This window comes from Homo sapiens, chromosome 10 (assembly GCF_000001405.40).
Source record: "Homo sapiens chromosome 10, GRCh38.p14 Primary Assembly".
NCBI classification, from domain to species: domain Eukaryota; kingdom Metazoa; phylum Chordata; class Mammalia; order Primates; family Hominidae; genus Homo; species Homo sapiens.
In genome coordinates, this window is record NC_000010.11 from 125,580,948 (window position 1) to 125,608,091 (window position 27,144).

At 43.7% G+C, this 27,144-nt stretch overlaps 1 protein-coding gene and 1 long non-coding RNA gene across 2 annotated transcripts in view, besides 1 other annotated feature; one reads left to right on the top strand and one right to left on the bottom strand.

Annotated features, from left to right (window-relative positions):
* The window catches only part of TEX36 (testis expressed 36), a 106,642-nt gene that overhangs the window by 4,426 nt on the left and 75,072 nt on the right, over positions 1–27,144 (bottom strand). The window lies entirely within an intron of this gene.
* On the top strand, positions 3,539–22,305 carry LOC102724793 (uncharacterized). Its single transcript, XR_428823.2, has 3 exons — positions 3,539–3,605; positions 4,107–4,235; positions 21,873–22,305. It is a non-coding gene; the product is annotated as an uncharacterized LOC102724793 (long non-coding RNA).
* Positions 3,811–4,325: an enhancer, noted in NCBI's record as "NANOG hESC enhancer chr10:127273327-127273841 (GRCh37/hg19 assembly coordinates)". NCBI's record gives its function as "activates a minimal SCP1, AML or CMV promoter by ChIP-STARR-seq in naive H9 embryonic stem cells {active_cell/tissue: H9 hESC(naive)}" and the evidence as "EXISTENCE:reporter gene assay evidence [ECO:0000049][PMID:30033119]".

Consider the following 27,144-nt stretch of genomic DNA (forward strand, 5'->3'; position numbering starts at 1 on the left):
AACCTGAAGAAAGCCCACTTGCTGTCAGAGAGAGTGAAAAAACCAGCAGACACAGACAAAGGAGTCCCAAGGACATTTGTGCTCAGAGTAGAAGGTGTTGGTGCCCACTCCATAGCCCCGGCCCACCTGAGTTCTCTAGCAGCAGCAGCCTAGGGACAGCTTCCCTCCCATCTCAAGTCCCCACATGTTTCCCCTCTTCCTGAGGCCTTTCTCCACCTTGTTCTGTCTCTGATGCAACCAGGCACACCCTAAACAGGGAGATTAGGTTCCCAGGGGCAACCCTCAGTCGGGGACGGGAGTTGATTGACAAACACCCCCAGCCTCCCATTCTAGTACCGAGAAGATGCTGATGCTGATGCGATGGCTTCTCAGAGGGTCCCTACCAGAAAGGCCCTGTTGCCCCTAGCATAACTCACCACTCAGGCACATCTTCCTGGGTAATTCATCCTCCCAGGCGCATCCTCCTGCGTAACTCGCCCCTCGGGCACATCCTCCTGGGTAACTCCCCACTCGGGCATATCCTCCTGGGTATTCTCAATTTCCTGTCCCACTTTTCCCCCAGGTCCTTACAAGGACTTTCTGGAAACACCTTTTAAGTAAACTACCTGCACTCACCTACTTCTCTCAGAGTCAGCTTTTAGGGAACCCAAACTAATCAGGAATGGCCTGTCTGTGGATTATCCCTAAAGCCAGTTCAGTCTCTGCCTTTTTCCCCCCTAAGGTTGAGTAATTGAATTAAATCCTGTCATTCTCAAACAAAGAATCATGAAACAGAGAAGGTGGGTAAGTCACTCAACCCTGGGATTTTGAGAGAAGTGGTCACTGGGGGATGTAGGGTGGTGGTCTCTCAACCTTATCTGAGCTCACACCTCCCAACCCATGGAAATAATTGAGGCCCAGATGCCATGAACTGGGCATATCCCTGTAGAGGGTAAGTAACTGTCTGTCCTCCCACCCAAAGAAGCCTGCATTGAGCAGAGTTTGGCTTCAGCCACAGAGGCAGCAGTGAGAGGAGGAGGCTGAGCTCCACTCATACAAGGCCACAGTGACGCATGGTCTTAGGGGGTAAGCAGGGGCTCTCACCAGACCTCAGGGATGGGGTGGTTTTCCCTACTCAGCCAGCTGGAGGAAGCGAATCTGAGTGCCTTCCCATGGCAAGGCCAAGGGAGTGAGAAAGCCAAGGAACATGCTCAGAGAGATGGCCAGCAGCATCCCGCAGGGGTGGGGTGGAGTGGTGCCCTCAGGGAGGGCTGGCAGCCTGTATCCTAACTGATGCATCATCCCTAAGAAGAATCATGAGTTTCACTTCAGTGATGTCTAGCTGTAAAGCACTTTCACTCCCATAATTTAACTGTATCTTCTTAACCTCAAATTCTAGACCACAAATTTTCTGCACATTTCACAGAGGAGGAAGTTCAGGCTCTGGAAGGTGAGGTGGCTGCCAGCTCCACAGGGCCAGGGTGCATCCCTAAAAACAGATAACTTCCCCAGTCTCAAGAGCATGGTCATGTCTTTCAAATAAATGCACATACCTAACTTTAAGTTTGGTTCTTCCATTCTGCTGCGTGCGTGCCTACAGATCCAAAGTGGTGGCCAAGTGCACTGGATTTTATCATTTATTTGAGTGAACTTGACTGCTTACTTAGCTGCTTAAAAGTTTAGTTGAGAGTGATTCAGCGGCATACACCTAAAGGCACCAATTCATCATTTGTTCATTCAGACAATCAATAAATAAACCTCGGGAATTTACATGGATTAAGAGCTCAAAGTCTTCTTGAAGTGGTATTTTTCAGCACTTATTTCACTTTGGGTTGCTAGGAGATAAATTGGTTTTTTTAAAAAAGCAATTTGCATAAAGACCAGGAAAGCATTTTAATAATGTCAATATATAGCCAAATGGACTAAAGTGCTAAAGTGACAATTTTTCACTAGATAATTAAGCCTCCAAATTTAAATGTTATAAAAGAGATATAGTTGTATTCCATGGAGATCTATTCCACTTAGGTAGCTAATTATTTCTCAAGAACAACACTGAGTCATGTTAGACATCTTCTTGCTAATCTAATAATATTAAGAAACTAGGAGATGGTCCTATCCTACCACACAATCAGAAATGGAAAACTGGTAGGATTTTAATTGCAGAATTGTGGGAAATTTATTCTTCTAATCACTAGCACAAATCTGACAATCTGTCCAGCAGCCAGGAACTAAATTGAAGTTTACTTTCCCTGATACATATGTTGTAAATTTCACTAATTTGAACGGGTGGAGAGGAAGGCTGTCTTAGTTCATTTGTGCTGCCATAACAAAATCCCCGAGACTGGGTAACTTAAAAGCAACAGAAATTTATTTCTCACAGTTCTGGAGGCTGGAAGTCCAAAATTAAGGTGCCTGCAAGTTCAATGTCTGGTAAGGGCATGGTCTGTGTTTTCAAGATGGTGCCTCTTGCTGTGTCCTCCTCCAGAGGGAATGAACGCTGTGTTTTTGCATAGCAGAAAGGGTGGAAGAACAAAAGGTTCTTTTTGTTTTGAATGCTGCATGGATCCTCTTTTGTAAGGTATTAATCTCATTCATGAGGGCAAAGTCTTCATGACTTAATCACCTCCTAAAGGCAGAACTTCTCAATACTATCATACTGGCAATTGAATTTCAGCATGTAAATTGTAGAGGACACACTCAGACTCTAGCAAAAAGCCCATCTATTTTGGTTAAAAATATCAGCTGTAGGACTTATGTAATACTTTTAAAATGTTTTCCTTCAAGTCCAAATAGAATCTTGAGTCTGGAACAAAATAATTATATAAGTGTTAGCCATTATTATTGCCTCAATATAGATACATAGCCTGGAAGAAACTAAAAAATTCTTTGAAACAGTATGGTAGATCATTTGCAAAGAGTCTGATCATTCTTCCCATCCGTGTACTCCAGCCTTTTCATCCTGTGACTTTACCGCTTCTCCCACCCAGAGAGGCAGAAAAGATATCTCTCCCCACCACCCCCAAATCTGTCAGGCCTGTGACTTGCTTTGAACAACAGGTTGTGGAGGGAGTGACACTGTGGGAGCTTAGAGCAGGCCTCAGAGACATCAAATCTTCCACTCCTGTCCTCTTCGAGCTGCTGCCACTATGCAAAAAAGGTCCCACCTGGCACTGTGGACATGAAAGACCACCTCGAGAGAGAGGCATGCCTGCCATGTTATGAGTCTATCTTGGACCCAACAGCCCCAGGACAGCTACCAGACTAGGGCCACCTGAAAGACTCCAGGCAAGACCAGCAGAATCACTGCCCAGCAGAGCCCAGCCAAAGCTGCTGACACACAAAACTGTCCACAAATAAAATGGATGTTGTTTGAACGCACTAAGTTTTGGGGTGGCTTGTAATGCAGCAACAGATCACTGATACAAATGGGTTTTTAATAAATGTAGATAATTCAGAAATAAGAGTATAAAAATAATCCTCGTAATCCTACCCCTAATTTTAACAGCCATTAATATGTTGGTATTTTCCTTCCAAAGTTTTTCTTTATGTTTTTTACAAGGATGAAAACATTGATCTGAAATGCATCTTCTACCTCCAGTTCATCTGTTGACGCCCTTACCACCAAGGTGACTGTATTTGGAGATAGAAGCTTTAGGGAGCTAATTAAGGTTAAATGACATCATAAGTGTGGGGCCCTAATCCAATGGAATAGTGTACTTGTAAAAAGAGGCAGAGACACCAGAGATTTCTCTCTCTCTCCTCCTCCTCTCATGTGCAGAGGAAAGCCTCTGTAAGAATGCAGCAGCAAGAAGATAGCTGTCTACAAGCCAAGGGGAGAGACCTCACCAGAAACCAACTGTGACTTCCAAAGGGCAGAAATGTGAGAAAATACATTTCTGTCACGTAGTTCATCCATCCTGTAGTATTTTGTTACAGCAGCCTGAGAGGACTACTACACATATTAACATTTTGAACATCTGCTGTTTCATGGACCCAATACAAATGTTTCTTCATGTCATAGATAGTCTTCAACATCATTTTAAACAATAGCTCAGATGAATGTCTCAACATGGGTCCCTTAGAAAATCCAGCCTTAGGCAAGGATTAACCTGCTGATACTTTCTTAGGGAGGTGCAAGCTCCGGGAAGAGACCTTGAGAAGAATGGAAAGAAAAACACCAGGAAAAACACAAATGCTGTGTGATGAGTCACTGTGTTGACTGAGATCTCATGACAAACTGCACAAAGACATAGCAGGTCAGTCATCCCCTGGCTTAAGGTGTGTCCCGAGGGGCTGCGAGGAGGAGCTATACCATGGACGAGTTCCCAGAGGGAGAAAGTGGAGAGGATGTACCTGCCCAATTCCCTCCTGCCTCCCACTTCCAGCAGGTCAAGAGTCACCCCCAGAGGGAGTGTCTTGGGCTTAGAAGACAATACCCCAAAGTATGGCACGTTGGTGTGCTGAGTACTTTGAGCTGAGGAAGCTTGGGGAGGCCTCAGAAGCAAGGTCTCTTCAACCTTCTCCCCTTTCTCCCCCAAGGCCTGTCATAGAAAACAAAAATCCTCTCCCCCAAGGTGGATCAAAGAAACTAGAACTCCTCTACCCCAAAGCTAGCCATAAAATATGGGAAGGTCACTCTGATCTCTCTTTCCCCTGAAAGCCCTCATGGGACAGGTGTCCTACCCTATGTGTAGAAGGGAAGGAAAGTCTTACAGAGACAGAGAAAAGAATCCTAACAAACAGGGCTTTCTGGGTTCCCCCACAAAACTCACCCAGTTTGTTACCCCTTTTGTGTACAGTCATGTTTCTCCACAACTATCCACTTCTTTCATCAGACTTCGCATCAAAATCCATAGTTTTCTCCAGGCTTTTGGGACTTCATTTCCTTGGGAAGGCTCCCATGTCACATAAAACTTTCATTTAATGATTTGGATTCATTTCTGCTGTTAAGCTGTCTTTGTCAGTTTTACTTTCAGCCCTAGCATGGAACCCTAGGAAGGTTTGGAAACTTCCCTGCCCTACAGGAGCTAACTGTCCCATAGGACTGGGTTGTGTGGTCCAGTCCTTTGGGTTTGCACAGAAGCCCTGACTTGTGGTATTTTATCTAAGTTCAGTAATAGACGGCAACTGTGTGCAGGTGGGACACAGAGCTCAAATGACAGTGAGACAGAGGCCGTCTGGGGCATCTGACAAAGCACACAAGTTTGTGTCCTATACACATGTAGATAGCATAATTTAGTCAAATGTTTCAGTCCTATTATTGTATACTTAGTTGGTTTCCAATGTATTATCTTTATAAATAAGGTTGGGATAGGCATTTTTATAAGTTAACCCTTACTCTCATCTATGCTATTTCTTTAGTGTAAATGCCTAGAAGTAAAATCATTGGGTCAAAGGTAATGAACAACCTAGATAGACACTATTATGTATCTTCATATATCTTGTAGTTTTCAGGTCTTGTACATTTCTTGTTAAATTTATACCTTGGTATTTTATTTTATCTTTTTGACTCTTGTGAATAGGATCTTATTCCAATAATATATTCCTTAATGGGTTAGTGTGTATAATAGTCTATCAAAAAGATTTGCCAGGGTGGCTCTTGCCCGTACTTCCAGCAGTGTGAGAGGTCAAGGTGGGCAGATCGCTTGAGCCCGGGAGTTCGAGACCAGCCTGAACAACATTGTGAAACTCCGTCTCTACTAAAAATCCAAAAAAAAAAAAAAAAAAAAAATTAGCCAGGCATGGTGTCACACACTTGTAGTCCCAGCTACTCAGGAGGCTGAAGGGGGAGGATTGCTTGAGTCCAGGAGGCAGAGGTCGCAGCACTGCACTCCAGTCTGGGCTCCAAAATGAGACCCTGTCTAAAAAAAAAGAAGAAAAAAAAAAGATTTGCCAGGCGATATGGCTTGGATCTGTGTCCCCACCCAAATCTCATGTTGAATTGTAATCCCCGGTGTTGGAGGTGGGGCCTGGTGGGAGGTGATTGGAAAGGTGGTTTCTAATGGACTAGCACCATCCCCCTAGTGCTGTTTTGTGATAGAGTCCTCTTAAGATCCAGTTGTTTAAAAGTGTGTAGTGTCTCCCTCCTCTCTCTATTTTCCTGTGCCTGCCATGTAGACGTGCCTACTTCCTCTTTGCCTTCCATCACGATTGTAAGTTTCCTGAGGCCTCCCCAGAAGCAGAAGCCTGTACAGTTCACAGAACTGTGAGCCAATTAAACCTCTTTTCTTCATAAATTACCCAATTTCAGGTATTTCTTTACAGCAGTACAAGAACAAATTCACTGGGTGTGGTGGTGTGCTCCTGTAGTCCCAGCTACTCAGAGGCTCAGGCAGGTGAGTTGCTTAAGCCCAGGAGTTCGGGGCCAGCCTGGGCAACTTACTGAGACCCCATCTGGGGAAAAAAGCGTTTTATGTTTTGTATTATCATGTTTTAATTTAATTTTTAAAGGTTATTAAACTTACACAGTTGAAACTTTCAAAGTTTAAAAAAGTTACAGAGTAAAAAGCCTCCCACCAATATTCTCACTCCTGGAAACAATCAATGCTATCAGTTTCTTACCTTAGAGACACTTTATACAGGCCAGACCAGTGGCTCACACCTGTAATCCCAACACTTTGGAGGCCGAGGTTGGCAGAGCACCTGAAGTCAGGAGATCAAGACCAATCTGGCCAATGTGGTGAAAGCACATCTCTACTAAAAATACGAAAATTAGCCAGGCACGGTGGCATGCACCTGTAATCCCAGCTACTCAGGAGGCTGAGGCAGGAGAATTGCTTGAACTGGGAGGTAGAGGTTGCAGTGAGCCAAGATCTCACCAGCCTGGGCTACAAGGGCGAGCGAAGCTCTGTCTCAAAATTAAAAAAAAAAAAAAAAAAAAAAGACACTTTATACACATGAAGCAGACACACACACACATATACACACGTATCCTTCTCATTATAACTATAACAAGTAATAGTTCTTCTGTGCCTTGCTTTTGTTCATTTTGCAATGTATCTTGGAGATCATCCCATATTAGCCGCTAAGGATTCCTTTTTTTGTTTTTTAACTAGATTCTCCATCTGGTGTGGATACCATAATCTATTTAATCATTGCACTGGTGACTGGCATTTAGAATGTTTCTAATCTTTTGCTATTTCAAAAACAGCGGTAACTTTGTAAATATATCACTTCATGCACATGTGAGTATATCTCTAGGATAAACTCTTAGTTGATGGGTTAATGAGTCAAAGGGTACAGACATTTGTAATTTGGATAGAACTCTCCATAGAGGTTGTACCAATTTACATTCCAAAAGGATTGTATCCAAGAGAGTCCCTCACCTTCATCTCAGTGTGGTATTGACTTTCTCTATATTTGCAAGTGTGATTGGTTAAAAGTAGTATCTTAGTGTAGTTGTCATTTGATTTCACTTACTGTGAATATGCGTTAGTCCATTTTTGCATTGCTTTAGAGAAATACCTGAGGCTAGGTAATTTATAAAGTCAAGAGGTTGAATTGGCTCACAGTTCTGCAGGCTCTACAGGAAGCAGAGTGCTGGCGTCTGCTTCTAGTGAAGACCTCAGGAAGCTTCCACTCATGGTGAAAGGTGAAAGGGGAAGCAATGCAGCATGTGATGTGAGTGGGAGAAAGAGGGAGAGAAGCGGGAGGCCCCAGGCTCTTGGTTTGTTTGTTTGTTTGTTTGTTTGTTTGTTTGTTTGTTTGAGATGGAATCTCGAGCTGTCGCCCATGCTGGAGTGCTGTGGCCCAATCTCGGCTCACTGCAAACTCCGCCTCCCGGGTTCAAGCGATTCTCCTGCCTCAGCCTCCCGAGTAGCTGGGACTATAGGCGTGTGCCACCACGCCCAGCTAATTTTTTGTATTTTTAGTAGAGATGGAGTTTCACCATGTTGGCCAGGATGGTCTCAAACTCCTGACCTCAAGTGACCCACATGCCTTGGCCTCCCAAAGTGCTGGGATTGCAGGCGTGAGCCACGGCACCCAACAACCAAATCTCAGGTGAACTCACAGAACAAGAGATCCCTCATCACCAATGGCTGGCACTAAGCCATTCATGAGGGGTCCGCCCCGTGATTGAAACACCTCCCACTTGGCCCCACCTCCAACGCTGGGGGTACCTTTCAACATGAGATATGGAGAGGAAAACATCAAACAATATCAGAATGATTTTCAGCATCTTCCCATATGTTTAAAAACCATCTCTATTTCTTTTTTCTGAGAACTACCCGTTTATGTTCTTTGCCTATTTTCATGAGATTGTTTATTGTATAGATTTGTTAAAAACAGCAAACTCACTGACTTCTCCTTTTCATTCTAATAGTTTGTCAGTTGACCCTGTTGGATTTTTCGGATGAATAGCTAAAACATCTGCAAATAATTACCACCCGTATCTCCTTTCTAATATTCTTATCTTTTTTCTGTGTATTTTTACACCAACTTAGAATTTCCAGAAAAGCATTAAAAAATAGGGGTGATAGTGGCCACCCTTGTCTTATACCTGACTTTAAGGGGAAGGCTCCTAGCATTTCAGTAACAAGTGTGATATTGGTTGATACACTGAGATGGATACTCTACTATTTTAAAGGAGTGTCTTTCTATTCCCAGTTTACTGAGATACCATTAGTGTTTTGTAAATTTGATCAGTATTGGATATTGAGTTTTATTAAAATATTTCCAGAATACATTGAAAGAATCATATATTATTTATTTGTCTTATAATATGATAAATTATGTCAATAGATTTCCTAACCCTAAACTATCTTTGCATTCCTGGGATAGTGCAAGACTCAATTATCTACTATTGTATTTAGGATTTCTGCATCTCTTATGTATAGTCATATGAAAAATTACAGTATAATTTTCATTTGGTCAGAATTCACCATATGACATTGAGCTATTATCAGAATAATATTGTCTGATGAAGAAATATGATTCAGTGTACGCTCATCTTCTCAAGTGATGTGGTTTGTAAAGTCTCGGTATCACAATTGGTTAGATTGTTCTTGGGCAATCTTCATCTTTGAGCATCATTTTGCTTTTCCAAATCTGCATAATTAAGTTGCAGGTCTCCTTTTTCACAACTACAATCATGTGTCTGCAAGGTGTCTGCAGGAAATCCACTTATTAACATTACACGACCTTGGACAAGTCTGTTAATGTCTCTCAGCCTCATTCTCTCTCTCACTTTTTTTTTGTTTTAATTTGAGACAGGCTCTTGCTCTGTCGCACAGGCTGGAGTGTAGTGGCACCATCTCGGATCACTGCAGTCTCCACCTCCTGGGCTCAAGCAATTCTCCCACTTTCTCCTGTAGCCAGGACTACAGGTGAGTGGCACCACACCCAGCTAATTTTTTAAAAAAAAAATTTTTGTAGAGAGAAGGTTTCACTGTGTTGCCCAGGCTGATCTCAAATTCCTGGCCCAGGTGATCCTCCCACCTCGGCCTCCCAAAGTGCTGGGATAACAGATGTGAACCACCACGCCTGGCCCTCCTTCTCTTTTATTTTAAAAAAAGGTGGGGGGCAGCTAATAATAGTACTATCTTCATGGTGGCAATACTTTGTAAAGATTAATAAAATTTTACAAAAGCCTTTAGCACAACATTATAGGGTAAGAGCTCAAAATGCGGCAGATATTATTATTACTATTATTACTAGGCTAAAAGTGTTTCCTGAAAACCAGTCCCATCCAGTGGAAGTCCATGTCAATAATGTACTGACTTAGTGAGTGCTGCTCAGTGCTCAGATAAGATGATGTTTATGAAAACGCATTGGAAAAAAGCACTATATAGAAGTTAGCTATAATGAGAATAATATTGTCTGATGAAGAAATATGATTTACTTTGTGTTGATCTTTTGGATTGGTGTGGTTTACACAAACATGATGACACAATAGAGAGATTCTATATATAGATATAGATATATTGATATATATACATATTATGCAAGCAGGAGTTACAAAAGGGCTCCAAAAGTTGTTCTGTTGCACAGTTTAAATGTTCCTCTTCGGTTATGTTCACATGAGTAATGTTCGTGGGATATATTTTTTTCCCCACATGTGGCCCAAAGGTGAATCGTCTCACAACGGGCCCTGCCTGCACTGTACTATACCTGGAGAGAGCACAGCCCAGTGATGAGGGTGGATCTGAGCTCCCTCCCTTCCACCAAGCTGTGAGGCCATGCACAAGTGATTATCTTTCTCTGTGTCTTAGAATGATAATGACAGAAATCCATTTCATTTGGAATTTGAGAACGAAAAAGTGAGTTACTAAAGGTAAAACATTTAAAATAGTGCCTGGCCTATCTGGGAAGCATTCAATGAGCGTTTGATGTCATCTATATTATTTTAATTACTGGACTCTCCTCTCAACTATCAACAGGAGGGAAGATCAGTTGGTGGATGGTGAAAGTTTAAATTCAATGTAGTCCCCAAATCCCCCCAAACCCTTGCAATTTGGCTCTGCCCTTAGTAACTGGGAGCCACCAAGGCCCAGAAGTGAGGGCCCCCAGGCTGTGTGGATTTGTCTTGAAGATCTTCCCGCAGTGGGAAGCCAACAGCTGGCAGGATCCACACACTATCCTCCTGGAGTGTCCTGTAGTACTCTAGAACTGTCCCAGCTTCACTATGTGTGTGTACACATGCTGGGAAACCGCACTGATCAATACCCTCGTGTCTGCCATGGTTCTCTCTACACTGAATTTACTTGAATCAATAGGAAATTAGTGTTTCTGTATTAGAGCAGATCTTAGTCTTAGCCTTGAAAGTGTAGCTATAATACACATGCATGTTCATGAAGCTGCCACATTAAAGGAAAATATCCCTCAGACTCAGAGGATCAATTAGCAGATGCGTTCATGACGAACTTGTTTACTCTGCTCTCGTCAACTTTTCTTTGTTGAAACTGACCTTCCCTGCTTGTATGAGAATCATTAGTGCCCAACAGGAAAGACAGGGCTTTCCATTTCACAAGTCTGTGAGCGTTCATTTCTGAGTAGGGCCCAGGCTCAACAATATTTTCACAGAGTGACAGTCGTAATCAAGTCCTAACAAATGATTGTCCTGCACGATAGAACTGCAAATAAAACTCTACATGTTGAATGTGCTTATTGTTCCTCCTTGTTTGCAAACATGTACACAGTGAGATCTTGATTATTTCAGAGCTTGGAAAAACAAAATTGTCTTCCAGTCTGTTTGAGCACTGGTTTATTTTTCTGGCTCCTGGAGAAATGCCCAACTTTTTTGGAAGAGCGTATCTTGTGCATCCTAAACCCTCCCGCTGGGAGAAAACCTTCGGTAAAGACAGCAGGCATGAGGAAAGCGAGGCTGGGGGTGGCAAGTGGAGACCATCCCCATGAAGCCAGACGTGCGTTAGGCCACCAGGGCCACCAGCCACAGTCTGTCTTTGATGAGCTTCCTGTGAGTTCTGACCTCCGTGTAACGACTCCTCTCTAACTACATGCTCACAAATACAACATATTTTTTCTCTGCTTGTATAGAATGTAGCTACTTGAATTTTATGTTGAGATTTCTGTAGAAGATAGAGGAGAAGGCAGTGTTTTTCCTACTTTCTTACACAGTCACTCAACACAATGCTTCTGACACCAGATATGCTGGGTTTCCTCCCTGCACATCCAGCAATTCTCTAGCAGACACCAACTGAATAAAAAATCCTGTCATTTCATTCAGTTTTGACACTATCCACCTAGAGATGGCATCAGATCCCTCAGGGCAAGGGCTCAGTCCTACAGCACTCCCATATGAGAGACCAGTCCCAAGCCCCAACTTGTGACCCATACTTCCAACCACCTGGCTATAAGTCAGGAGTCCCACAACCCCCTTCCTCACATTTGATTACTTTGTTAGAGCAGCTCACAGAATTCAGGGAGCACTTTACTTAGGCTCACCCATTTCTTATAAAGAATGCTACAAAGGATAGAGAACAACAGCTAGATGGAAGAGATGCCTAGGATGAGGTATGGAGGAAGGGGCACAGAGCTTCCATGTCCTCTCAGGGGCAACACCCTCCAGGAACCTCCATGGGTTCAGCAACCTGGAAGCTCTCCAAACCCTGCCCGTTTGGGTTTTTATGAAGGTTTCATTATGTAGGCGTGATGGATTACATCACTGGCCACTGGTGATGAAATCAACCTTCATCCTCTCCATGCTCCACTGAGGGTGGGAGGTGGGGCTAAAATTTCAACCTTCCAATCACAGAGTTGATTCTTCTGGCAACCATCCCCCATCCTGGGGCTGCCCAAGGGCCCCAGCCACCAGTCATCTCATTAGCATGACACTTGCTACTTTGGGGATTCCAAGGATTTTAGGAGCTGTGTGCCAGGAACCAGGGGCAAAAACCAAATGTATATTTCTAATTATATTATAACATCACAAGATTCAGGAGGAAAGAAATCATCCCCAACTCCTGAGAAGTTGCCATACTCTAGAAAGAATAATGGAATTTGTAGACCTAGACTTCTCATCCTGCTTCTGCCACTTGCTATGTGACTTTAGACAACATGAGTAGCTTCTCTAGACCTCAGAGTCCCATTAGGGTAATAAAGTCTTCGGTGCTTGCCTTAAAGGATTGTTATGAAATTCAAACAGGCTAATACATTAGAAAATTCGTGGATGGTGCAAAGCATCACACAGTGTAAGGCATTATCCCTTACAGAGGCATGTGAGGTTAGCTCTTATTAAATGTTCAATGAGGAAACAAAATACAATTTTAAAAATGAACAGATATGCAAAAGGGCAACTCTTGTATGCTTCCACTACAAATAGGCAAATTCATACAGACAGAAAGTAGAAGAGAGGTTACCTGGGGATGAGGGGAAGAGAGAACAGGGAATTCGTGTTTGATGGGCACAGAGTTTCTGTTGAGGATGATAGAAAGTTTCTGGAGATGGATGGCGGTGATGATTGCACAATAATGTGAATATACTTAAGGCCACTGGATTATACACTTAAAAATGGTTGATTTTATGTTATGCAAATTTCACCTGAATTTTAAAAGAGAAAAGAACAGATGTGAGTCTTCCTAGTGGAGGTGACACAGGGGATGTTTTGGCAGAGGAACACGGAGTAGCACAGGAGACAGGCGAGCACGCTGGCCTCTCTGGAGCTCTAAGGAGCTGTCTGAGGCTAGAGTCACAAGCAACCTCTCTCCCAAGACGTAGAAGGACCCAGCTGCCATCTGGATTATATTTTGGGGAAGAGGGACCCCACCTTACTTTAGCCCAGAAGAACTTAAATTTTAAACTTCTGGTTTCTACAGTATAGTAGCCAACTGTCTTCTCGAATAAGTAGAGCAATGGACAATTTGCTAGATATATATTTAAATAAGCAAAGGTTAAAAGTAAAAGCATTTTTTAAATGTCCCAGCTAAGTGAAAACAAAAAGAGAGCAGATGTAGTAAAATTAATAACAGAAAAAAACTGAATTCATAGTGAAAATCATTAAAAGAGACAACTGGGATCTTTCATACTGATGAAAAGTGTATGCTTGAGCTCTCATATACTCAGCAACACAGCTTCAAGATAGTGGAAGCAGCTGAAAGATCAGATGGGATTGAGAAGCCCACATTAGAGTTTAGCACATCTCTCTCAGAAATTAATCAAGTATATTTAAAAAATGTTTCCTTCAAAAAAGCTCTCAAACCTACATTTTTAGAAATGTAAACACACGATTCTACATAAATATGGGTCAAAGAAGAAATTGTGCTGACATTTTTGAAATATTAAAGAGTGAATGACAAAGTTCAAAATATCAAAATCTATGTTTTTGCTAAACTATTACTTAGAGGGAAAGTCACAACATATGTTTGGGAAAAAAAGGTTAAAATTGATAAAAACTGTCTGCACAAGTTAGAAAAAGAATAGCAGCATAATTACAAAGAAAGCTGAATGAAGAAAAGTATAAAACTAGCAAGGAATAAACAGAATAAAAGAATATACAGAATCCACAGAACCAACATTTGTTTTGTAAACTTAAATAGACAAACATCTGGCAAGATTGATTGAAGAAGCTCTAGAAGGAGAAAAAGAGAAGTCACAATAAAAACTATTAAGCATATAAAGGGGTAATATAACTATAGTCACAATTAAGATTTTAAAAATTAGAAGAAAGCGTTGATGTAAAACAGTGTTCTTTATGTCACAGGGTTTGAAAATGTAAGTGAAAATGAATAATTTTATAGAAATACACATTACAAATGGTAAATTTAGGAAATCAGAATGGATCTCTTAAATAAATCTGAATCAAAGATTTTCTCACACCAAAGGCCCTGACCCAGTCATCTTGACAGGTGAGCTTTACCAGGCCTGCAAATAATAAATAGGTTGTCCCTCCCTCATAAAAATCACCCCCCCACCAAAATAAATAAATATTAATAAATGAAAAGTTCCCCAACTTGTCTGAAGCTAGCATCACATTGATATCAAAATCAGACAAGAACATTCAGAAAAAGGAAAATCCTTGGCCAATCTTCACAGCATCCGCCTAGCTAATCTCTCTGTTGCCATTTTTGCCCAATTAGTTTTTCTCCTCTTTGGGGCCCAGGGGATCTATTTAAAGTATAAGTCAGATACATCACCGACCTGCTCAGTAGCCCCTCCTGCTCAATATGTGCTGCCTTCCCTCTGTGCTCCTCCCCAGCCACCTTTCTGTCCTGCCCTCTACTGCTGACTGTATGCCCCCCTTCCAGCTCCCCAAGCAGGCTGAGCACTCCTGCCTCAGGGCCTTTGCACTGGCTGTTCTGCTGATACTCACATGGCTCACTCCCGCCTTTCTTGAGCCTCTGCTCAAATGCCACCTCCTCAGAGCATCCTGCCCTTACCACTTTGTCTAGGATGGCAGTCACTCTCCACCTCCTTCCCCTGTTTACTTCTCTGCCTAGTACATAGCATTACCTAGTTATTGTCTCCCTGTCTAGAATGTAAACCCTACAAGGCAGGGATTTTTTCTATTTTATTCCCTGATGAATCCCAAAGTCCTGGAACTGTGCCTGACACATTGCTGATGCTCCAAAGTGTTTCTTAAACAAAGAAAGAAATCTCACTTATAAAGTTAGATGTCAGGAATCTTATGAAGATATTAGCAATCTGAATCCAGAAATTATTTCAAAATACTAATAAAGCAGCAACATGACTAGGTAAGTATTTAACCTCAGGAATGCAAGGATGGTTTAACATGAGAAATGTGCTGATGTAACTGTGGTGGGCTGAACAATGGCCCTTCAACATGTCTGTGAATATGTTGCCTTATACAGCAAAAGGGACTTTGCCAATGTGATTGTTACATATGTTGACATCTGGATGTTATTCTGGATTATCAAGATGGGCCCATAAAATCACAAAGATCCTTATAAGAGGAGAGAAGAAGGTCAGAGTCAGAGAAGGAGATGTAAGGCTAGAAATAGAGGTGAGGAAGTTAGAAGGAAAGGGAAGAGGAGGAAGAGGGAGGGAGAGAAAGAGATTCAAAGATAAAGCAAAACTGTTGGCTTTGAAAATGGAGGAAGAGACCATGAATTAAGGAATACCAGTGGCACGTAGAGGCTGGAAAAGATGAGAAAATGGATTCTCTCCTAGAGCCTCCAGAGGAAGCACAGCCTGGTTGATACCTTGATTTTAAGACTTTTGACCTACAGAACTATAAGATAATAAATATGTGTTGTTTATTACCTTATTGTTGTTTTAAGCCATTACATTTGTGGCAATTTTTTACAGCCGCAATTGGAAATTAACACAGCAATTTACCACATTAACAGATTAAAGAAAAGGAAATCTCAGTAGATGCTGAGAGAGCATTCAACCACCTGCATGAGAAATCAGCAGATAGGCCCTATAGTCCCACTGGCAAGGATCAAGCCAGCTGTTCTTTATGGAGTGCTGTTTCAAGCACAGCTCAATATAACAGATAACCTGGGACTCTGGATTCAGAAATTCCTGGCTGGGAATCTGGACTTAAAAAGCAGTTGTGTAAATTTGTAATCTCTCCTGTTAACTCGCCTCATCTGTAAAATGGGTTAAAAATATTACCTACTTCAAAAAGCCATTATGGGATGACATGAGATGCCCTTTGCAACATTGCTAGAACAGCTGGCACCTATGAACTGCCTGCCCCAAAAAGAGTGACCCAAACCTGGCTGAGCCCTGCAGGTGACCACATGCAATTTTAGGGGAGTGACTGTTGACTTCACCATCGCTTAGAGCTGCAAAGTGCTTACACTACCCAATGTTGTAGTCCATCTGTCTTCTCTATCCACTGCAGGTGCATGTTTGCACCTGAGGCTTGGACTTCACATCAAACTCTACTGTGTCCACCATGTGAAGTCCATTCTTTGTTCCACCCATTGGGGTTCCTCCAGAGCCCAACCACTGTTACCAAGCTGTACTTGGGTCTGCTCACCCAGTGCACAGAAAAAAAAACACTCACATGGGCATTTGCAGCAAGAGAAAGTGAGGCATTTATTACAGGGTGCTGAGCAAAGAGAACCTTGCAACTAATGCTTAATACCCAAACTGCCCAATAGCTTACAAGCAAGAGTTTCTAATGGTAGGGTTACATTTCAGGAAAGCAGAAGTTATGGGAAAAGCTGTAAATCAATACATGGAGGTTTTATGTTGTTTTGGCCCAAAAAGGCAGGATATCTTGAAGTGGGCACTTAAAGGTCATAGGTGGATTCAGAGATTCTTTGATTTGCAATTGGTCAAGGAAGCAAGGCTTTCCTAAAAACTGAGGGTCAGAGTAAAGGAGCCTTCACCTGTGGCCTGGAGGACTTGCTCCAGGCCCCACAGGAAGAAATTTAGAAGAAAGAATGGCAGTCAGGGTTTAGTCCTTAGTTCCCCCTTATCTAGGTCCAAATGACAATGGTTGGCATTTTCCATTTGGCGGGGGGCCTGGGTTTCCAAAAACAACTCAAGGACATATGCTAGGTGTTATCTTTTAGTTTCTATAGGGATCCCAAACACTTTGTGACTCTGGTTCACTTGGGTGGCTATTGTTGAAGTTATTATTTCCTTCTTATTTAGCGGGTTATTTATTTACTTTCTTAATTGCTGATTATAGAGCTAGCTAGGTGCCTGGAATTTCCCTTGAAGAGACTCGAAATTTGTCCTTTATCTCCATGCCAGGGTTAAGGAGGGTGGGAGTGGCAGGCCCCTAAGAGGGGTCCCTGCTAGGGTCTGTGGGCCACCTGCAAATATGATTCTAGCCTCATGTCAGCAGGACACACAGGTTTCCTAAGTCTCCAGTGTATGGTTGTTTGTCACGTTCTCTGGCCTGTCTTTGAAGACGCTGCTGATATAATGCACATTTGTTGAGGTCGTAGTCTAGGCTGGACCCTGCCCAGCTGTTATGTGTAAGCTCACCACAACGCTTCAGGGTAGCAACAGTGGAGGAAACAGGATTACAAAAACTGGGTTAGTTTTTTGGCGGTGATGGTAACCCTGTCTGGGTGATGCTGAGGCTAGCACTCCTCCTGCCTTTGCCTCTGAGCTTGTCTAGGCCTACAGGCAGCTCAGCAGCCAGCTCACTCTAATCTCTAGGAAGAGGATCCTTGGAAAAATTGTCCTTTAGGACCTTGACAAGGCCACCTCTCCCCAAACCAACAGAGCCCAGTGCCAATCATCCATTGCCAAGCCGGCCTAATTTTCATGCAAAGAAAATGAATCCAGAAAGTCCATTCCTAGCATTCTCAACATCTCTTCTGACTCTATATTTTGCTAATCAGTAGATTTTACTGATTTTTGCTTGGAGATTTTTAGAGACCCAGCAGATTCACTCTAGGAAATCAAATTCATTCAGCAAACAGGCAAGTCCTGTTTAATCATTGGCCAGGCTCAAAATCATCTCAACAGTAACTCACTTTACCTGAGTTAAATTGCACCTTTTCTGGAAAAGAAATTCCTAACATTGAGCTGTCTTGAAAATTCCATACCATTGTTGGAACTCCCAATCCAAAAATTTATAATTGGTCCTGCTGGTTAACCACTAACAAATCAGCTAAATGTGAAGTTGACCATATCAACCCTATTTTTCCATAAATTGGAAATTTCCTCTGGAATCTCATCTTTCTTAACCATGACCTTGCCTGCCCCACTCCGTACCCCCTGCCTTCTGCTACCTGAAGAGTCACTCACTGAAAGATGAAAAGGTACTTATCTTGGATTTTTCTTCTTAAAATAATCGGAAAAAACTTTTTTTATTATAAAATATAACCACATTAAGGAAGATTTGGAAAATGGAAGAAGAAAAAGAAAAACACCTATAATCCTAGCAAACTGCATCCACTAACGGTTTGTGGAAGAAGTCCACATTGTTGCCCTTAAGATGTTAAAACTGAAACCTGTCTCAGTGTGTAACCAGGGAGACGCATGTCCTGGGCTCTTGGAACCCGCTGAGGACCAGCTGACACCAGTGCCAGGCCACCACACCTGCCCTGGGGGCAGTGTCCTGTTCTGTGTGTGCATATGTGTGTGTGTTTCCTCTTTACTTCACTCTCTTTATTGACGTTCATTCCTTTCATTTTCCACTTTACTTTTGGTTTTGTTTTTCTGCATTTCCTTCCTTTGTAACAGGTGTCTTTCAGTATCATGTTCTTAGATTCCATGCATGCTGGAGGACCTGGATGAATAGCAAATGGAAATTGCCCATCTGCTTAGGGAAAGATGGCGCATATGAGCACCAAGGTTTACCCAATGCCAGGAACACACACCTTGCTGGAATTAGTAACATTTTCACTGCCTCAAACAACTGGCAAAAAAATCTGTGATGATATCTCTCCCTTAATATAATACCCTTTGTATTGTATTTGTGCAAATACTACTTTGTGGCCCAATATTTCTGAATGCGCAATGGTCAGAGGCTTCAAAAGTGTAAATCCCTTTCTGAGTCTCAGTTTACCCATCCGTAAATGTGAGGCCCTTCAGGTGGACCTTCCCTGGCTTCCAGGCCACCCCAGCTCTCCTCAATGGAAGCTGTGCCTGTGAGACCCCCAATCCCAGGCTCAGCCCTGCTCTAGACTTCGGGATCCATGCTGTCCTGAGACAGGTGGGAATTGGAAAGCTTCAGTCCCTCATTTCAGGATTGGCTGTCTGATTCAGCCCTAACGTCTCTAGCCCAGTTCAGGAAACTGGGCCTGGATCCAATTTATTTAGGCAGCAAACACAAATGGGTCCCTGCCCAGAGCAGAGGAGCTAGTCTACAGGATGGCAGGTAACTTATGACCTGTGTCATCTTCTTAATAAGATGAGCTGGGCCAATCCAATTACTTTCTCAGAAAGTCTGCATGAGAAAACTAAAATTTTGGAAGAGTTGGCTGCGGGGATGAATCACAAGTTGATGTAGAGGGGCCCAGGGAGGTTGTGCTGGCTCACGTGTAGGCTGAGGAGGGAGTAGAGACTGGGGAGCTAGGGAGGGAAGAGATCTGGGTGGGCAGACTCAAAGAGAGGTGGAAAGATGTCACTAGATGGGAGTGATCAGGGGGGTCTCCAACCTTTACCACCATATCTGTGAGATCCCTGCTGCTGGAATCCTGGACTCCTGAGCCTGTTGTACTTCTGGTGGACCTTCCTTTACTTCAGCTAATGTGGGTGAGTTTCTGTTTCTATTTGAATTACTTAAAATCAGAAAAAAGAAAGCCCTTGGATCTAGCCCTACATGCTACATTTGTGGAAAGTGAGGACCACCGCAGTCAAGTCACTTGCTGAGGACCCCCAGTGATACCCCAGGGTCCCAATCACAACCCTCTATGCAATGGCCTTTGAGTTACAGAGCTCAGGAGGACAACTGTCCCATCTTTAAGCTAAACACAAATCATTCTGTTTCTAAATATGACCCCCACGGAATGACCTGAAAGCCTCTTGGCATCTCATTAGTGTTTCAAGGGTACATGGAGCCCTGTCTGTGAGAAAGCACAAAGATCTGATTTTGCAACTGTGAGACACTGAATACCGCGGCCCATTTCTATCTGGATCCTACCTGGAACTGCACTAATCCCAATAGCCTCACTGATGACCTTAGCAAGCAAGAGCAATTGCTAAAGAATACAGTGTATTTGCTGAGTCCAAAAGCAATTTTGTTTTAGCTTTCTCATTTGGCCAGAGGAGTTGGCATGCATAAGTGTTGATTCAATTTTGCTCTCTGGTTGAAATAGAAGACTCAGGAAAATTAAACATGTTTGTGAAATCTAAGCATACTTTATCTATAAATGCCCACATCCTAATATTTTTGGTTTAATTTTCAGTTAATCATAACAGCTAATATTTATGGTATGTTTACAATGTTTGAGGAACTTTTAATTAATAATCACATTTAATCTTCACAATAATTCTATAAGACACGTATAGTATTAAAGAAACTATAATAATTACTATATGGAAGGGGACCTCCCTGTAACTTGCCCAAGAGGCATAGCCAGGAAGTGGCAATGCCAGGTTCCCATCTCAGAGGCCCATTCTCTCCCAACCTTTTAGCCATATAGCCCCAAAGGTGGTTAGCTAAGGAAACAGATGATTGCTTGTTTGTTTGAGTTACAGACAGTGAAGATAATTCAAGAATTTGTAATTGCTCATCCCTGCTGGGGGATATTAGCTAGACATTAGCTGTAGCATGTGAATCATGACACTTGTTTCTGGCTGAGTTATTACCTATGCACAATGGTGCTCACCAGCTTGCCAGCTTGGTTTAGAAAGTTTGGGGAGAAGATGGTGCACACTGCTTCCAGTTGCTTCCCACTGCTGATGGCTCAACTGGGGATCCAGGGCCCCCACCTACCCTCAATTGTTAGCAGGCAGTCCCTGGCTTCAGTTTTATATCTGAGTTGTGACCCTGGGACGATTTGGGGGATGTTGATGTATCACAGCCCATGAACTCTTCAGACATCCTCTGGGAACACCGACCTGCTAACCAGTTGGAGGGAGTGGTAGACACTTGGCAAGCCTCCACACATTGTGCACTGGGGTCCTCGCCCTGGACAAGGTCCAGAGGCAGCACCTGCATGCGGGGTGTCTTCCTTGTCCCTGCTCTTGCTGCTCTGCCAAAGATGCACATCCAAGGACCATCCCCATACCCCCAGCAGGGAGGCGAACAGATTTATAGCAAGATCCAGGGAGGTGTTGCAGGGGGAAAGGGGAGGCCAGCCTGGGCTCTGCCTCTATCTGCTGAGCAAGCCACCGCCCCTCTCTGTGCCTCAGCTTCCTTGCCTGTCAAAAAGAAGGGGCAAGAGTATCCTGGGGAGAAGGAGGGGGCTCAACTGTGACTTAGTGAGGCAGAAACGCTGCCTGGTTTATGCGGGGTATGAGGCTGGCCTAGCACCCATCTCCTGGCAGGTACATCTCAGGATACACAGGGCCTTCATTTTCACTATGAAATTTGAAGTGAATATTGTCATTCTTGTGCTTAAAGCCATAGATGGGAAAGCGCTTTTCATCTATTAAAAAAATTCTCAGCTCTCATCACATCCCTCTACCACTCTGTATTCAAACCAGGGAGGATTTCATTACTCCTCAAGCCCCACTGGGCACCTTCCGCCCCGTCTCGTGCTGTTCCCCTCTATCCTTCCTTCAGGGGTCAGGCAAGCCCCATCTGATTCCCTCCACTGGGATTCGTCTCTCCTCCTCATGCTCCCCGGCAGCTGTATTACTCTGACTTGTGCTTGATTCATTCATTCATTCATCATTCATTCATTCATTCAACAAACACACTGTGAGTGCCGGCTCTGTGTCCTAAAGACACAAATCAAAGATGGGACAGAGAAGAAATGGATGAAGTGGAGAAAGCAAAGGTGAAGGTACAGAATAAGTCTAGACACATTTCCAAACTCTCTCCATCCAGACTTTTAAAATTCTATGTGTTTATATTTCTATGCCATATAGAATTCTGTTCTCTTTTTTAGGAATTAACATTTGTATCCTTTCCATGGAATACTCGTTAAGAATACATCAAACGCATGCGGTACAAATGAATACTTCGAGGACAGCCTGATGATTACATGACACCTGGAGATTTCCATGGGGACCTGTGTGGCTTGCCGTTCCAGTTCTGTCCTCTCCGGGGCTTGGGAAGGTTCCACCCAGCTGGACCCCGCCCACGGGCCCACCTGGTGCCATGCATGGAGAGGTGAACACGGCTCCCAAGGCCAAGCATGACAGAACTGGGCAGAAAGAGACTCGGACCATTTTTCAGGAGCGATGACCATCTGCGGACAAGGCCAACCAGCCTTCCTGTCCTAAGAGTCCCATTTGTCCAATAAAACTACTTAAATAAAAGCACCACCCCTCTCCATGGCCCCCCGCCAGAAACTACAGGAAGGGATGGTTCCCTTACCAGATGGTTTCCACTTTGATTTCTCCGACTTCCAAGTACCTGTGCCTGTGCCCCCATCCCTGCACCAGAAACCTGGCGGGGGTCCAGGGGTGGGGTGGGCAGGGCAGAGGTCACAGTAAAGCCCTTGAGCTCCCCTCTGCACCTCTTAGTGGTCCCCCATCTGCTCCGCCCGTTGCCTGAGCCCATTTCCCCCACTGGTCCTTGCCCCCGCCACCCAGTGCTTCTCTTCTCTAACCCAGCCCCCAGGAGAACTTGTTGACGAACCTTATACTGCACAGTGGTCACAGATAAGGCTGTGCCATCATTCTCACCTCTAAAATGCTGGCATGCAAATGATGGCAAAATCTGGGGGCAGGCTAAGCTGTTGCTGAAGCATGGCAGCCCTGGAGGCTGGTTTCTGTGGCAGGGCATGCAGCCACCTGCACAAACCTCACGTCCACAGTGCCAGGCGTCAAAAGGACAACGTATCCACAGTTCCCTTATGCAGTCCTAATATTGAAAATCAGAGCCACAACCTCCCCTCCCCACCCAACTCCTGCAGTCTGAGATGATACACCCCCCTCCACCGGAACACAGGACCCTCTAGAGTGCAAAGTGCCCCATGTCACCAAGCAAAGAGGGAAAGGAGGCACTGGCTGGGCCCAGTGGGCAGGTTAGGCAAACTCCAAATGTCTGGCTCTTGTACTGCACTGTAAGAACTTGGGCCCTAGGGTATAAGGGGCCCATTCCGGTTCAGTCCAGCCTCCCCCGGGACCCGAGAAGCTCAGAAAGTGCTTGCTGGTGAGCAATGAGCCTAGGATGAGGGTCTGTATGTCAGAGTTGATAAGTCGGGGAGGAGTCCTCAGGAAAAGAAACATGTTTCCCATAAAATGTGACCAGAGCCAGGAGAAAGAACTCTCAATGGCAGGGTTCCCCGACCAGTACCAGTTGGTGGCCTGTTAGGAACCAGGCCACACAGCAGGAGCCCAGATGAGCAAGTGAAGCTTCATTCGTATTGACAGCCCCTCCCCATCACTTGCATTACCGCCTGAGCTCCCTGCCCCCTGTCAGATCTGGAGTGGCATTAGATTCTCATAGGGGCACAAACCCTATTGTGAACTGTGCATGCAAGGGACTAATTTGCACGCTCCTTATGAGAATCTAGCCTGGGCACGGTGGCTCATGCCTGTAATCCCAGCACTTTGGGAGGCTGAAGTGGGAGGATCACTTAAGTCTAGGAGTTCAAGACCAGCCTAGGCAACATCATGAGACCCCTGTCTCTACACATAAAGAAAAAAAGAGAGCCAAGGGCAGTGGCTCATGCCTGCAATCCCAGCACTTTGGGAGGCCGAGGCGGGCAGATCACAAGGTCAAGAGATTGAGACCATCCTGGTCAACAAGGTGAAACCCCATCTCTACTAAAAATACAAAAATTAGCCAGGTGTGGTGACATGTGCCTGTAGTCCCAGCTACTCAGGAGGCTGAGGCAGAAGAATTGCTTGAACCCAGGAGGCAGAGGTTGCAGTGAGCCAAGATTGTGCCACTGCACTCCAGCCTGGAGACAGAGCGAGACTCTCTCTCAAAAAAAGAAATAGAGAGAGAATCTAATGCCTGATGATCTGTCACTGTCTCCTATTACCCCCAGAAGGGACTATCTAGTTGCAGGAAAATAACCTCAGGGCTCCCACCGATTCTACATGATGGTGAGTTGCATAATTATTTCATTACACATTACACTGTAATCATAACAGAAATAAAGTGCACAATAAATGGAACGTGCTTGAATCATCTGGAAACAATCCCCTCCAGCCTTGGTGTGTGGGAAAATTGTCTTCCACAAAACTGGTCCCTGGTGCCCAAAAGGTTGGGGATGGCTGCTCTCTGGTACAGGGGAGAAGGATGCTAGTGGGGCCTGTCCCCAGGCACAGCACGCAGGGCAGCTGGGCCCACCTTATCCCTCTTATTCTCCTGTTATGCCTTCGACTCATTTTATTTTCCTTCCTAGACAGCCCATAAAGTCTATGAGGTCAGGACCATGTCCTGCCAGTTAATCTCCACACACAGCATAGTGCAGCAATGTGGTCAGTTATTCTCCACACGCAGCATAGTGCAGCAATGTGGTCAGTTAATCTCCATACACAGCATAGTGCAGCAATGTGGTCAGTTAATCTCCACACGCAGCGTAGTGCAGCAATGTGGTCAGTTAATCTCCATACACAGCATAGTGCAGCAATGTGGTCAGTTAATCTCCATACACAGCATAGCACAGCAATGTGGTAAGTGCTTTAGAATTCTTTTGTTAGTGAAAACAAAAAAGAGTGAAGGAATGAATGAAGAAACTTTCTGGGTCCAAGATGTTTATTTATTTATTTATTTATTTATTTATTTTTGAGATGGAGTCTCGCTCTGTCACCCAGGCTGGAGCACAGTGGTGCCATCTCCGCTCACTGCAACCTCCACCTTCTGGGTTCAAGCGATTCTCCTGCCTCAGCCTACCGAGTAGCTGGGATTACAGGTGCCCACCAACACACCTGGCTAATTTTTATATTTTTAGTAGAGACGGGGTTTCACCATGTTGGCCAGGCTGGTCTCGAACTCCTGACCTCAGGTGATCTGCCTTCCTCAGCCTCCCAAAGGGCTGGGCTTACAGGCATGAGCCACCACGCCCAGCCAGATCTATCTATTTTTAGATTCTAGTTACAGGGAATCTATTCACCTTTCATCTTATTTATTAAAACCAACTTTGTGGACTAAAATCAATGATGCATTTAAGTCATTCATCTACCGAGCTTTTATTTAGCACCTACTCTGTACTTTTTTTATGCAGGAGTTTACCAGCCCAGAGGGAACTTTGTATCTGAAGACATTCTTAGACTGTTGGGCCGTGTTCTAAAAAATCAATTCCTGGAATCCCAGCAGTCATATAAGTAGAAAAAGAGAAATTGACAGTCCTTCCAATTAAGCACCCTTGTAGGATTTATTTTTTCCCTATAGTGAAATGTATTCAAGAACGACAAGACATCAATAGATTCCTATGTTTTCAAACATCTCTCCGAAAATCCAAACCGTAGACCACATCTTCCTTTCTGTCCAAACAGGTAATTATACTTTGTGTATTAAAGCCTTATATCTTTGACCTATCCAGTGCACAAAAAACAGTTTAACCTTTAAACCAAGTCATGTACACCATTTTACTCCTAGAAAGTTGAATTTATGTTATTCCGTCAAATCAGTATCAACCTGACCTTTAAACACATCAGTGTTTCTTGGAAAAATATTATGGCTGGGATGGCTACCACGGTAAACAATATTAGCTGCTCTACCCAGTGCTGAGCCGTGCTGTGCTGTAGCTTATCAGATCAGGGGGTGGAAGTCAGCAGGGACCAGAGCTCTTCTGACAAACTCTACAGGATATGAAGAACAATGTAAATGCACCAGAGTTGGCAGATATATTTCTATATTACTGTTCCGGAGATAACAGCTAAGGTGAATCATTTCCTACCACCTACCATTCCAAATTATTTCAAATTCTGAAGGGACTCTATTTATTTCATTGGTAGCTAGCAATTTACTTAGCTGAAGATCATTATATTTATGTGTCTGTGAAATCCTCACAATAATTACACATTTGAGCCGTCTCAGATGTGCTATACGTATTCTCATTAGTCATATACTTGCAAGGATAGTATCACATTTTTCTGTAGCAACCTTGACAACGTACACATAAAGCGCCCAACTGGATGCGAACTTTGATTCTCATGGTTTTCCTAGGTATCATATTTATCAAACAGCAGGATGCCTTCATTCACATGCAAATGCTTACAGAAAGCTGGAAAATAGTCTTAATTTCTCTTTTCTCTAGATCACTTGGGTGCTGCAGTCCTGGAAGATATTGTATTGGGCAGCAGGGAGAGCAAACCTAGCTGAGATCTAAAATTACTTTAGGAGCTTACCAAAAAGTTCCATAATGGGAAATATTTATAAGACAGCACACTTCCTTCCAAAGCATAAAGTCATTGCAGGATAAGTGCAAGGCATTTGTAATTTCCAGTGCTGTCAAGCAAGTGCCCCCAGGTTGAATCCTGGACAATATTTATGAGGCTGGTTGGTTTATCCAAAAGGTCTATTTTGTCATTTTAAAGTCAGGGATTATGAAAGAGAACAGACTGCCTGGTGGTTTTGCCCATTTCTGCCCTCCCCGCATTTATTTCAGAAGCTATTGTTAGTGTAAACACGGTGATTCTCAGAACATCTCTAACCTTGACAGCAAATAAGAACAATTCTCCCTCCTGAGCAATGATCCCAAGAGAACATGGGGATTCATTCAGGTGCCAAAGAATATTGTTGAACCACTGAGCTCATGACAGAGACACATCCTCATTTGCCATAGCGTCTCAGAACACATGTGTGCTCACTGGGTTTACATGTGACTCCCCGACTAGCTGGTAGGCCCTGGGAGCATAAGACCTCTATCTGCTCATGTCCACCTTTGCATCCCTAGCATCTAGTATAGTGCCCAGCACATAGTCAGTGCTCAATAAATATTTACTGGGTAAGCAAATGACTGAGGCAATGAGCTGAACCGCCTCCATGCCGTAAGCCTTTTCATGGGGAACTATAACCCTGTCTCGAGTTTGGACTGTCTGAGGCTGAGTCACATGACTTTCCCACAGAAGATTGAAGCCAGAGTGAGAATTCGAGTCTCCAGAGCCAGCAGGTGCCATCACCTTCTTCCATGCATGAAATGATGGTTTAATGAGTACCTACTATGAACCCAAAGCTGTGCCAGTCATAGGAGCAGCTACGGTCAACGAGTCACACAGATCTGGCTCTCACAGAGCTTGGAGACTGATGAGGAAACA